At 41.0% G+C, this 15,019-nt stretch overlaps 1 long non-coding RNA gene across 7 annotated transcripts; it reads right to left on the bottom strand.

Moving 5' to 3' along the window:
- Positions 1 to 4,811: 4,811 nt before the first annotated feature.
- Positions 4,812 to 14,964, bottom strand: LOC105374645 (uncharacterized). Of its 7 annotated transcripts, none has more exons than NR_188256.1 (7): positions 14,743 to 14,964; positions 12,982 to 13,028; positions 11,303 to 11,375; positions 9,738 to 9,866; positions 6,214 to 6,397; positions 5,373 to 5,454; positions 4,812 to 4,985 (listed from the first exon to the last, which is right to left on the bottom strand). It is a non-coding gene; the product is annotated as an uncharacterized LOC105374645 (long non-coding RNA). The 7 variants fall into 7 exon arrangements; NR_188260.1 differs by having other exon boundaries at positions 11,303 to 11,389; NR_188258.1 differs by having other exon boundaries at positions 9,738 to 9,815; positions 11,303 to 11,389; positions 14,737 to 14,964.
- Between the last annotated feature and the right edge of the window lie 55 nt (positions 14,965 to 15,019).

The raw sequence follows: 15,019 nt of genomic DNA on the forward strand, positions 1-15,019 counted from the left end.
TTGTCAGGTGTGTTTAATGATAACTTGGATGTTAAGATGGGGGCTTTTGGTTTTGAACCAAAAGCAAACAGGAAACTTCTTTAGTAGAAAAGCAGCAGAATAAAGGCAGTAGGTAATACACACTCTATACACTCTCTATATACACTCTGTGTGTGCACTTTCCAGCCAAACCTTCAGATAAAGATGGGGTTACAACAGATTTAAAATTCTAAAGCTCTTGAGCATGAGTCAAGAGTCACTGATAAAGACCCATTTCTCAATTTCAATTGCCCGGGAACAGTGTGAGAAGGATAGTCAGAACTCTGGGGAAGTATATTTGTTCTCCATCAAAAGAAGTCAACTATATAATTATCACTCCACAGTTTCTAATTTGTGATTAAAGGTATGTATAGTTGATCTTACTTCCTGGAAAACTAGAGAAGAAAATAAGGGAGAAATGGAGAAAGAAAAGGAAAAGAGAAGAAAGAAAGATAAAAAAAGGAAGACAGAGAGAGAGAAAGAAGAAAGAAAGAGAAAAAAATAAAGAGAAAGAAAGAAAAAAGGAAAGAGAAAGAAGGAAAGAAAGAAAGAAAGAAGAAATGAAGAAGGAAGGAAGGATGGAAGGAAGGGAGGAGAAATTATTAAGTATTAATACTTTAATACTGTATTAAGTATTACACATAATTTAAGAATTATTTAAAGTATACAGGAGGATGTGTGTAGGTTATGTGAAAATACTATGCCATTTTATATAAGGAACTTGAGCATTTACAGATTTTAATATCCGCAGGGGACCTGGGGCCAATCCCTGTGATACCAGGGGATGACTGTACACTGAAATGTTGTTAGCATAGCATACAGCCTATCCTTGTAAAGTTTACCAAATTTTCCAGCACTATGAGGAAATATCAGCTGTAAATACAAGCACATTACTTTATGTAGGAATTATACTCAAGAGTAAGAAGTTACCCACTTTCATGCCATCTATGCTGAAGCCCAGAGAGAGCTCAGGACCTAAATTCTTTGCCCTAGAGAAGGCAGCTCTTTGACAGGACATACTCGGGTATCTGAGGAAAGAATGGGAAATGGGATAGAATTGTTAGCTGCTGCTGGATGACTCGGGGGGGGCCAAGGTCACACATCAGCCGCCATCAGTACAAGCGGGAATGGACCACAGGTGGAGGTAGGATAGCCACCATATTTGAAGAATTAAAGACCCTGGGTACAACTGTTGTTCTATTACAATATTTCCTTGATTAAACAATACTTCAGACACCCAGTTTAAGTATTGCTTCTGGAACCATTCATCAGAATAAGTATATACCCACATTTTATTACATCCTGCAATGCATCTGCCTATAAAATCAGCATTTTACATCCTTAGTACAAACCTTGGTACCCTGCACCACTAATCTGGGTCTGACCACAAAGTTGTCCACATTAGGATGTTGCTCTATAAATTCAACCTTTCTGCAGCAACTCTCTTCCTGTGCAACTGAAAAGGTTTTAAAAATCTCAAAGCATCTGTTGGGTATTTTCTCTAAAAAAAAAAAAAAAAAAAGAGCAAATTTTCACACTTCCTCTTCAAATCACACAATTTGTCTGTAGAATGCTACATAATTCTTGCTGTTGCCTTCTACCTGCTTTTAACTGAGGCCATTTTTAACACACTGCTTTGTGCGTATAGATCCTACTAGCTCAGCAGTTTTAGAAGAATATATAATAAAAGAAGTAGCAAGGGTTTAATGCATTTACTTCTCTCCAAAGATTTTCCATATTGGTGACAAAAATGCTGTGTGCTTTAGTTAATGAACATAAATTGAATAAAATGAAACCACTGAAACACTCTGACAAGTATAGAGACACCAACATAGGAAGTCTTGCAATTTTCGTATTGTCCTTTCAATAAGCTTTTTACAATAGGAAGATTGGAAGCTCATCTAAAGTATCCATTGATTAAGTTACCTTTGGGACAGTTCTGCTCTTCTGCCTCATGGTAATTGCCATATCATGCAAGATGTAAGCAACGTGCTATTCTGCTTTCCTACGGAAGCAGGGAACGCTGGCTGTAGAGGATGCAGGACATCCTCTAGGCATATTGCAGGTTCTCTGCCTTTCTCTGCAACCTTGGAGTGCATAGAACTTTCAGTACTGGCATTTTCTAAGGCACTTGATGGCCTTTGTAAAACAAAGAGGAAGCACAATGTGTATCTTTTAACTCAATAAGGGTAGGTAGATTTTTAAAAATAATTTAAACATGTCATTTTATCTGTACTATTTGAAAAGACATTGTACTAAGTAATAACTCAAGGCTAAACATTAAATCTATAGAGTTTCCTAAAAGGGATTCCTAGAAAACTTCTAAGAACAAAAAGAAAATAAAAAGCATGCAAGAAGCACCACATGACACATTAATTATTGGCAAACAAAATAAACATTATAAAACTTCATTCTACCATTTTAATGTCATGGGCAAAATCTGTTTCTAAGAAATCCCAAGAATCCACAGACATGTTCTTTTGGGCAACAAAAGAATCCTATTAAAAATGAAGGCATTAACAAATCCACATTCATTGGTAGAGTGGCTCATACATCTTCCATTTCTACTCTTATTTCTTCCTGGGAATTGATAATTAAACTAAATTCTTTCTATAAACTTGAGTTAGTAGCTGGACTTGAGGGAAAAAAATGCATAACATTACTTTATAACACACAATTTTGTTGGTCAGCCTCTATTTTATCAAATTATTATACATCCAAAACTTAAAAGAATACAATCTAAACAAATTTAATAAATTCTCTATTTTCGAGTATATTTGATAGAAAATGCTGGTGATATTAAAGACCTGACTTGGTTTGGAATTGAGAAAGGGAGTAAAGCATGCATGGTCAAAAGTCTAAGAAAGATACAGAAGTTGGAAGATGTTAGGGAGGCAAGATTGTCACAGTAAGAGCGCTGGCTTTGAAGGTGGAGGAGCAGCCTCTGAGCCAAGGAATGCAGGGGGATTCCTGTTCCAGAAGCTGGAAAAGGGAATCGATTCTCCCCTAGAGCCTCCAGGAGGGCAAGCCCGTCTGACACCTTGACGTTAGCGTCAGACTTCCAACCTCCAGAGCTGTGAACTAAGCAAGGTGTGTTGTTTTAAGTTCCTGAGTTTGTGGTAATTTGTTACAGCAGCCATAGGATGCTAATACATCAACCAAAACCAGAACATGCGAGGGTCTGAAAAATGAATTGCTGCCCGACTACCTTCATCAAAGAAACACATACACTTTTCACTGAATCACTGAAGAAAGGAAAATGTTGGGAAATGTCTAGATGGGATTGTCTTTTGATCGTAAGTCCCATGTGACCCAGACCTGAGACAGTGGTGCCCTGACTTGTTTCTGGTCACTGTGTTTGCTATGGGTATGGTGAGGGGCCCAAGCCAGCCAACCATTCCAGTCAGTGAGACTTAATTGCCACACATTTGCTTGTGCCACTGGGGAAGAGGAATTCTCTCTGTAGTTGGATAGCTATTATGCTAAGCTAGATTGTAAGCCTGGAGCTGGGGAGGAGTAGCCATCCGGAGACCTCTAGGGGAGAACCTAAGTCCTTCTGAAAATGAAGCCAACACCAAAGAAAGCAGAGCTGAGAAGAGAAAAAAACGAGACTGAGATGATCCCGAAGATGTCATCTGTGCCCTTGAGTCATGTCTTGGCAGACTTAGATGCTCCAGTTCTACGGGCCAAAACATCTCCTCTTCTCATTTTACTCGCAACTAAGACTCCTCTGTGGGAAAGAAACAGTTCCTATTTTCTCTTTTCTACTTATATACACACCATTGCTGTCAGGGTGGGCATTCATGTATACAAATTGACCATTCAAAAAGATGGTGTAAAATAAAGGCACCTAAAAAACCCCCAAAAAGTCAGCAATGGCCCTCTAACCAAATGTTTATTAGAAGAAGCCTGTGGTATTTAAAAGGATGAATATAACCCAAGAGATGAGTCCAGAAGAAGTCCAGACCCATCAGCACTTCAGAAAGGCTGAGAAACAACAGCAAAAAGCCATGGAAACCACAATTTTTGCTGCACGTAACTCTAAGCTTCAAAAAATGCTTTCTGTTTATTCTCCAATTCAGTAGATGGTCCCCCCCTGGGTTATACATAGGACTATATCATTATCTTCATTTTGCAGATGAGGAAGCTGATGTTTAAAGACATTATTTGTCTAGGTTATTGATCTAAGGCTGTCCTTGTGTTAGGCTTTATACCTGGACTCATTCCTGACCCCAAACTTTCCAAGGCTGAAACTTGTTTTCTACACTGGTGACAGTTCTTTACACCACACAGTGTGCTATCTTAGTTATTTTTTTCCCTGTAACATAGGTGTACACTGAGTTCCCCTGGAAATACTTGGACAGGAAACATACCCTGTATAGGATGTTTCTTCGACAATCGACATTTAGAATAATGTGGTGTAGAATCAAATAGAATATTTATGTTTAGTGTTTCCTTAACCCAATAAGTGCTGAAATGCAAATCAATAGAAGAGGCAGCCTGTTTCAGAATGAAAAGGAAGGGTGTTCATTTGTTTTACCACCTACTTCACTGTGACACAGCTTGTGGGCCAGACTGCAAACAAGACCTGTCAAAAATCATGCATTGTTCTCTATCCTCCTTGGCTCCATGGTGGATTCCACCTGAAAGTCTCCCATCCAATTCCTGGCCAGGATTACTGTGTTAGATAGAGAACTTAAATGCAGCAACTCCTTGGTGTCTCAAATACTGAGAGTGTGGGTTGTATAGGTTTTTCAAAAAGTGAGGGAAGTTCAATTTAGAAATGCTTCAGGAACAGAGGCAAATTTTCACTGTATTTACAACAGACATAAAGCATGACCCAAATTCATTTACTGGTGAATGAGCTTGAATGTCATGAACTTCAATTACTTCTGTAGAACAGGGGCAAGAAGGCTTCTCCCATCTTCCTCCCAGATGTTTGCTTTGAATGCATAATGTTTCAAACACTGAAAAGAATTATATAAAATTAGCACCATCAATAGTGTTGATACTGTTATGAGATGCTATTTGAAAAGGGCAGAGAGAACCAAATGAGTTTGCATAACTTTCAGTACTATAGATGACCCTTTTTGAACAAGAAGGCCATTTGTCTTCTACATTGGGGACATAGTCCTACTGACGGGAGCACAAAACAAGGATTGTTCTAGACAAGAGAGCTTGTTGATTGAGTCCAAATGTAAAGAAAGCTTTTTTAATATGAAGAATAAAATGCACAGAAGTTGATTAAAGTCTGGATTCTTTCCCTGGCAGGGGTTAGAATAATTTATGCATTTTCCCTCTAAAGTTTCCTGTCTGATTACACCGAGGAGAACAAAGTCATTAAAGGCAATTACCATGTTAATAGACAAGAGATTGAGAATGCTGAAGGTTGGGTAAGTCCATCTTCCTGTCACACACAGTAGTTTTCCCTTCTGCCTGTAGGTTTCCAAATGAATATGAATTGGTAATCAGCATGTTTCATATTCATAATGCAATCAAAATGCATATTTGATTGAATGCCTCATTTAATAAACCAAGAAAATATTCATAACAGTTGTGATACTTAGGGTTTTTAAAAAATTTTTATTGAGGTATAATTACATATAGTAAAATGTGCAGATCTTAAGTGCATACTGTGATATTTTTTAAAAATGTATGTACCTGTGGAAACAACATCCAGTAAAGACATATAGCACTGCCTTCAACCTAGAAAGTCTTTCATGTTTATTGGCATATATTCTCTTTCGCATACCTAGAAAGACCACCATGCTGAACTATGTTCCCATAGATTAGCTCTGCATGTTCTGGAGCTTCATAAAAAAGGAAATGTCTAGATATCATATCTAAGTCTGCCTGCTTTCACTCAGCATAGTATTTCTGGTATTCATCCATGTTGTGTGCACCACTAGTTCATTTCTTTCTACTGCTATTATTCCATAGTATGAATATATCACAATTTGTTTATTTATTCTCCTGTTGATGGATTTTTGGATTGTTTAACATTCTTGCTATTATAAATAAAGCTGCAATAAACACTAGTGTACAAGTAGTTTGTGTAGGCATATGGTTTCATTTCTGCTAGAGAAATACCTTAGAGTTAAATTGCTGGATCATAAATAAGGTAGGTGCACATTTAATTTTATAAGAAACTACCAATTAGTTTTCTACAGAAGTTACACCATTTTGCATTCCTACCTGTGAGCATGAGACATCCAGTTGCTCTATGTCCTGTCTGGCATTTGGTGTTGGAAGTCATTCAAATTTAAACCACTCTAGTGTCTGTATGGTGGTTTTCATTTGCATTTCCACGATGACTAATGGGGTTAAACATCTTTTCATGTCTTTTATGGTCATGTTTATATCTCCTTTTTTGGAATATCTGTGAAAGGAAAATAAATTTTGGGACTCCCAAATCACTAAGGGAAAGGGAAAAATCAAGCAGGGAATTGCTTAGGGCAAACCTGCCTCCCATTCTATTCCTAAAAAAAGGTAGCTACTAAGATAAAAAAGTGACATACCTCCCTCACAAGGAATTTCCTCCTGGACAAAGGACAGACAGAACTCAAAGTCATCCCTCTGTTCACTGAGATAAATGCATATGTGATTGCCTCCTTTGGAAAGGCTAATCAGAAACTCAAAAGAATGCAGCCATTTGTCTCTTATCTATCTATGACCTGGAAGTCCCCTCTTCGCTTCCAGTTGTCCCACCTTTCCAGACGGAACCAATGTACATATATGATTGATGCCTCATATCTCCCTAAAGTCTACAAAACCAAGCTGTGCCTCGACCACCTTGGGCACATGTCTTCAGGTGTGTCATCGGCGTGTGTCCTTAACTTTGGCAAAATAACCTTCCTAAATTGACTGAGACCTGTCTCAGATATTTGGGGCTCACATATCTATCCAACTCCTCTGAAAATTTTTACTGGATTGTCTGTCTTACTGTTTTTGACATGTAGCAGTTCTTTATGTAATTCAAATTCAAGTCCTTTGTCATATACAGGTAATGAACATTCCTCCTAGTCTATGATGCACTTTTTTTTTATTTTTTAACACTTTTGAAGAATAGAAATTTTTAATTTTCATGAATCCAGTTTACTTTTCTTTTTTTCTAATAAAGTGTTTTGCAATCTCTCTGAGAAATGTTTGACTACATATATCACAAAAAGGATTTCCCTCAGGTTTTTTATAGAAAGTTTCAAAATTTTAGCTTTTATGTTTCATCTGTAATCCATCCATTTCTGTTCATTTTCATGTTAGGGATAGATAAAATTTCAATTGTTTTTATACGAATAACCAGTTGTTCTAGCATGATTTGCTAAAAAAGACTTTCCTTTCCCTCATTGAATGACATTGGCACAATTGTCAAAATTAATCTTTCTGCATATATGCAGATCTGCTTTTGGACTCTATTCAGTTTCATTCATCTATCCTGAAACCAGATCGCACTATCCTGATGACACGGTAACTGTACAGTAACTCTTAAAATGAGGACTGTGGGCGGTGGCTCACGCCTGTGATCCCAGCACTTTGGGAGGCTGAGGCGGGCGGATCACAAGGTCAGGAGATTGAGACCATCCTGGCTAACACCGTGAAACCCCGTCTCTACTAAAAATACAAAAACAAAATTAGCCAGGCGTAGTGGCCGGCGCCTGTAGTCCCAGCTACTCAGGAGGCCGAGGTGGGAGAATGGCGTGAACCCGGGAGGCGGAGCTTGCAGTGAGGCGAGGTCGTGCCACAGCATTCCAGTCTGGGCAACAGAGGGAGACTCCACTTCAAAAAAAAAAAAAAAAAAAAAAAAAAAAGAGGACTGTGGACTGTGCATCCTCCAAGGTTATTCATTTTCAAGGTTGCCTTGCTTGTTCTGAGTCCTTTACCTTTCAATGTAAATTTTAGTATTGATTTTGGTGTTTGTAATTATCTCCAAAAGAAGTCTTCTGGGATTGTTAAGACATATTTTAAAAATTTATCTCCTTTATACTGACCTTCCAAACTACTACAGCAAATTGGGGTGGGGGTTGGGGGGTTAAAACAACAGTTCTCACTGTGTTATACGAGAAAAACTGGAGACTCCAAATTTTTCTTAATAATCCAAAATCAGTGTTTGGTTTCTCAATCTCATGAGTATACAGAATATAGAAAGATCATTGTTATGGTTTCAGATTTTACATTGCAAATAACCTTTAAAGAATTACTACATTTTGAGATTTGATGTGGTAACCAAAAAGACTATTTACAATTATCTGAGGAGGCCATTAAAATATTTCTCCCTTTTCCATCTGTATATCCATAGTAAGCCAGATTTTCTTCATATATTTCAACCAAAATGACATAACACAACAGATTGAATGTAGAAGCAGATATGAGAATCCGGGCATCTTTTATTAAACCAAACATCAAATAGACTTGCAAAAATGTGAATCAATACCACCCATATCACTATTTTTTTTGGTTTGGGAAAATATACTTTTCATTAAAAAAAGTTGTGTATACAGTGATTGGCTTATTAAGTTTAAATAAATGAATACATGTTTTTAAATCCCTCAGTTTGAATTCCTCATGTAATAAAAACTGATAAATAAAACCTACATCAACCACAGCTCATGTGATTTTAAGCATATTTTGACAATTCTTGAGCAAATTCTAAAATACAATTTTCTCAGAAACTTATTTCTATGCATTTCATTTTGAGAAGTGGTATTATATCAGGTTAGAAAGTAATAACAATGCCTTTCGTTTTAGATACATTCATTCCTTCATTCCTTTAGTTAGCACAAATTTTATGTACACATAATCCATCTTCTAGAATATGTGCTTAATTCAGTAGAAGATGTACATAATTGGACTAATTTAATCCAAAGTAACATTTTTTATAACTCTGAGTAAATAAAACCAGACAGGTCTGAGTATTTCTTTGTGTTAAAATGTTTGTACCCAAAGAATTCTATTTTTCTTCCTTCAATTTCTTCTCTGATAATTCTTTTCAAGAAAAAAACTAGATATTTAATTTAATTCATGAATTCTAAAATAGTTTGGATATTTTAGAAAACATTTGTGTATTCATACCAATGACAATTTCATCTTTCCCATCTCTCCCATCCTCCAAAACTGTAAAAACGTTAGCCATAAGTACTCTTGTTATGGATTCATTTATTCAATGAACACTTATGGAGTGATGTGATGGAATTTGTCTGAAGGCTATCTGCATTCAATAAAGTAACTGTGAAATTCTTTCTAAAATAAACATTTCTTTTTTTAATGCAAAGAAAACTTGGAAAAACGAAACCATCTAGTACGTACGTGGGTTTCTACGAAGTAAATTCCACTCCTATTTAAAATGACAACTCTACCTTTTCATTTTGAATCAACATCCTACACAAAATTATATCCTTTATCCAGATTCATATGTTCAAAGTCATATTCTTCATACAACAGAAAAGCTGTAAAAACACTCTTAACATTTTGTGCAAATCCAACTTCAACTTTAAAAAGAAAAATCTAAGATATAATAATTACTCCTACACAAAAATGACGACAACAGGCTCTGATATATAAATGGTTATAAGCTTGGGTGTCCATGTGCCTTGAGAGGCTGATCTTTGTCAAAGAACACAGCCATTTCCCTCACCAAGGCGAGGGTGCACAGGCACCTTCTCACATTCAGAGTAAAGAAAGCCTAGTGCTTTGGACCTAAGACATAGATATAGGGAATGGCATACCTGATACATCTCATTAAAGACACAGCAAGAGAAGAGGGTGGAACCACCCCGTGGAGGCCAGCCTTAGAACCTACAACCCTGCAAGAGGATGGCAAGTATGGGGATGACGTCAGCAGAATTACTGCAGCACTGAGAATGGTGAGAAAGAGAGAGACCTTAGAATCCCCTTATATAGTTTGGACGTTTGTCCCCTCCAAATCTCATGTTGAAATGTGGTTCCTAATGTAGGAGGTGGGCCTTGTGGGAGGTGTTTGGGTCATGAGGACAGATCCCTCATGGATGGCTTGGTATTGTCCTTGCAGTAATGAGTGAGTTCTTGCTCTGTTAGTTCGCACAAAAGAGCCCGATACCTCCTCCTCTCTCTCTCTTGCCATGTGATGTGCCAGCTCCTTCTTCACCTTCCACCATGATTGAAAGCTTCCTGAGGCCTCACCAGAAGCCCAGCAGATACCAGTGCCATGCTTGTACAACCTTCAGAACCATGAGCCAAATCAACCTCTTTTCTTTATAAAGCTACCCAGTTTCCTGTATTCCTTTATAGCAACACAAAAATGGACTAACACATCCCCGGTGTAAACCCCTGAAACAGACGGAAATGGTCATCTGGTCCTCGGGTGGGCTCGTTCAGTGATAGACATTCACACTGCCGCAGCTCTTTTCTTAGGGTTTGGTTTTCACTGGCCAACTCAATTATCCTTTAGTTAACTTTAAACCTGCCTTCATGTAACGCCCACCAATTCTTCCTTCATGAGATAGGAAAGCAGTCACTGGCATGTTCCAGGGTCTGCTTCCCTAGAAGGTGGCCAGGGAGCAAAGTTGGATGTGATTTACGAGTGACCATTCCAGGATCAGCCACAGTCACAACGGGAAATAAACCATTAACCTATTTCCAGTGAAAAGGGACTCAGAATTTTACTTTTGTCTTTGGAAGAATAGAAATATAATTGGTCCTTCTGAATTAGATCATCTGGTCCTCAACAATGTTAATAGTTCATACCGCCTCCCTTGGGTCTCTCTTAGGTTTGGTGGAGGAAGATTTAAGAATAAAATGAACAATTCAGTTGTGCCTAGATCAGGCACAGTAAACTCCTCGTGCAGCTGCCTATGGTTTGGCCCCAAAGGAGCAACTTCTGAAAAACGATGGAAGGAATGCTTGGGTTTTGCTTGACTTCATTCATAAATGAAGACATTCCCACCCATTGTCTTGGGTTCCCGTTACTTATTTATGTAATGTTTAAAGGTGGCCAGACATATCGATAAATACATACTGGCTCAGGCTGACTTTCCGTAAGAGGAAGTGTGGTGGGGAGGAGGAAGAGGGGCAGACTCACTAGCACGAAATCACCCTGAAACCTCCTCAGCCACTTCCTAAGAAGATGCACTGAATCCACATGTGCTGTGTTCTCACCCATAGGTACATACAACACGGCTCATGCCACATGCTCCTTGCTGTTTGTTCAGTCAGTAACTGTTGAGAGCTAGGGTGTGCCAGGCACTAAGATAGGCAGGGAGGACAGGGTTACAAACAAAACGCATAAATAAATGTAATGCTGTGTAATACTCACACAGTGCTTCCAGGCGCCAGGCATTCTCCCAAGCACCTTACGGATTTCAACTCACTTGATCCTTGCAACGACTCTATAAAAAGGGGACTGTGGCACAGAAAGAGTCAAGTAATATGTCCAAAGCCACATATCTCATCAAAGATGGAGCCTACAATTTAGTAGAGTGGCTTTTAAATGTATTTGATCTCTTACCCAGAGTTAGAATAGCTTTTACATCATGATTCGGTATACAGGCACACACACACACACACACACACACACACACACAAACACATGCACAATTAAATACATATATCTGGAATTAAAGTGTCACCAACAATATGTATTTTACTACGTGCAGTGTACTGTCATATTTTCTATGCTCTTAACAATGTATTCTAATGTTATTAAAAGTATCTGTCCCCATTCACTAAACTGATGTCATGAGTCCCTCCTCAGTAAGTCACAAACAGAGAGTTTAAAAATCACTAATTTTGTGGTAGGATCCTGGAGGGACATTAAAGGGATGGTCACAAAACAACTGTAATTTTTTAAGTGTGATATAGAAGCTCCAAGGACGGGGGTGGGAGTGGGAAAAAGAGAGGTCCCTCTGAGCCTAGGAATAAAAGGCAGGAGTGACTGGTCTGGATAAAGCCTGGAAGAGCTTTCTAGGGTTCTGTGACCAGTAGGAAGGGCCTGTGCACAGGCTTTGGGAGAGGAAGGAACTTGGTCCAGTGAAGAAACAAGAGAAGGCCAGCATGGCTGGAGAGAGTGGGCAGCCGTAGTGGGGCATGGAATGAGGCAGGAGAAGGAGGCAGCCCCAGGTTACAGGAGATTTTGAGGCCATGGTAGAGTCTGGCCCGGAGTGATGAGCTCCAGAAGCAAATCATTAGGGAAGGGTGTATAGACAAATGAGGAGGCGGCATTGAGATGATCCAATGGACCTTGCATTTGCTTTGTGCAGTACCAGTCATGCTTGGGCCTCTGTGCTGTGCTGTGTGTGGTAAGCACTGTGGGGGTCTCTCTGCTAGCAGCTGCACCCAGCCCCAAGCTGCTGAGTTTGGCAGCTGATGGGTCACAGCTGCCCTATTCTCTATTTATGGCCTTCTGCAGGACAGGGACTGTCTTGTCTTGGAGACCACATACCCCTCCTCCCTTAGCAGATAGGGCATCCAGCAGCCAATGGTCAACCACCATGGTGTCTCAAAGACTGGCCACCTAGCCTGATGAAGGGTAACTGTGGTGCAATTTGTGGACCTGCTTCTAGGGAATCTAACTCAAAGCATGCATAATGGGCCAAGGTCAGTGGCTCACACCTGTAATTCCAGCACTTTGGGAGGCTGAGATGGGAGGATCATTTGAGCCCAGGAAGTTTGAGACCAGCCTGGGCAATATAGTGAGACCCCTTCTCTAAAAAAAAGAAAAAATTAGCCAGGTGTGGTGGCACACCTGTGGGAGCAACTACTTAAGAGGCTGAGGTAGAAGGATTGCTTGAGCCCGGGAGATGGAGGCTGTGGTGAGCCATGATCATGCCACTGCACTCCAGCCTGGGTGACAGAGTGAGACTTTGCCTAAAAAAAACAAAACAACAGCAGCAACAACAACAAAAATGCATAAAGACTGATAAGGCTAGACGAGAATTTGGCCTAATGTTATGAACAGATATGATTTGGAATTTGATTAAAATGTGCTTTCTTTACCTGAATTTTACATTTCAACCAGTTCTGACTTTTGCATTGTTACAGACCTAGGAAATTATTATTACTATTTCAGAGATACCAGAAATACCCTCTCTGTTTCCTGATGTTTTCTTAATAAACCCTCCCATCACCACCCTGAATCCAAAATTCTCTCTACCATAGGGCCCTTCGCTACTTCCACCACCACTGTCTCCATCATCACCACCATCACCAACTTCATCACTACCGCTATCACCACCATCATTATCACCACCACCTCCACCATCACCTTCATTACCACCACTGCCTCCACCATCACCACTACCTCCACCAACACCACCACCATCATCACCACCATCACCTCCACCGTCACCACCACCACCTTCACTACCACCACTACCTCCACCGTCACCACTACCTCCACCAACACCACCACCAGCATCATCACCACCACCACCTCCACCGTCACCACCACCACCACCTTTGTTACCACCACTACCTCCACCAATACCACAACCAACGACCTCCACCATCACCACCATCACTACCACCATCACCATTATCACCACCACCTCCATCATCACCACCAGCACCTTCATTACCACCACTACCACCACCATCACCACCACAACCTCCACCGTCACCACCACCATCACCAATACCACCACCACAAGCACCAACTTCATTACCACCACCACCTCCACCACCACCACCACCACCACCTTCATTACCACCACTACCTCCACCGTCACCACTACCTCCACCAACACCACCACCAGCATCATCACCACCACAACCTCCACCGTCACCACCACCATCACCAATACCACCACCACAAGCACCAACTTCATTACCACCACCACCTCCACCACCACCACCACCACCACCTTGATTACCACCACTACCTCCACCGTCACCACTACCTCCACCACCTTAATTACCACCACTACCTCCACCATCACCACTACCTCCACCAACACCATCTTCATCACCACCACCACCATCATCACCACCCTACCACCACCTTCATCACCACCACCTCCACCATCACCATCAGCACCACCATCACCACCACTACCTCCATCATCACCACTACCACCTCCACCATAACCAACACCACCACCACTGTCACCACCACCACCTCCATCATCACCACCACCACTACCACCATCACCACCACCACCACCTTCATTACCAACACTACCTCTACCATCACCACCACTGCCTCCACCATCACCACTACCTCCACCAACACTGCCAACATGATCTTCATCACCACCACCATCATCACCACCACTACCACCACCTTCATCACCACCACCACCTCCACCATCACCATCACTACCTCCACCATCACAATCACCACCACTGCCACCATCACCACCACTACCTCCACCACCACCACCACCACCACCTCCACCATCACCACCACCACCTCCACCATCACCACCACCACCATCACCACCACCACCACCACCACCACCATCACCACCATGACCTCCATCGTCACCACCACTACCTCCACCACCCCTACCACCTCCACCATCACCACCACTACTTCCACCACCACCACCTCCACCATCACCACCACTACTTCCACCACCACCACCACCACCTCCACCACCACCACCTCCACCATCACCACCACCACCATCAGCACCACCACTACCTCCACCATCACCAACACCACTTCATCACCACCACCACCACCATCACCACTACCTCCACTATCACTACCATCATTACCACCACCACCACCACCATCACCACCACCACCTGTACCACAATCACCACCATCTTGCTGATTGGTCTTCATCCAACAGAAGGCATGTTGATTTTTCTCTCAAGGCCTCACATTAAGAGACTCAGAGAATGACCTGTGATATGATATAATTTCAGGGCTGGGTGACTAAGTCTGAGCCAGATGCAGGTGCATCAGTAAAGATCATATGCTCTACAGAAAGGGAGATGACCTCACAGATGCAGAGAGAAGCTAAGACTCACAGCGGCTACGACCTCAGAAAGGAAAAGAATGTTGTGGTTCTTGGTTCCTGATAGG

This window comes from Homo sapiens, chromosome 5, assembly GCF_000001405.40.
Source record: "Homo sapiens chromosome 5, GRCh38.p14 Primary Assembly".
Taxonomy (NCBI): Eukaryota; Metazoa; Chordata; class Mammalia; order Primates; family Hominidae; genus Homo; species Homo sapiens.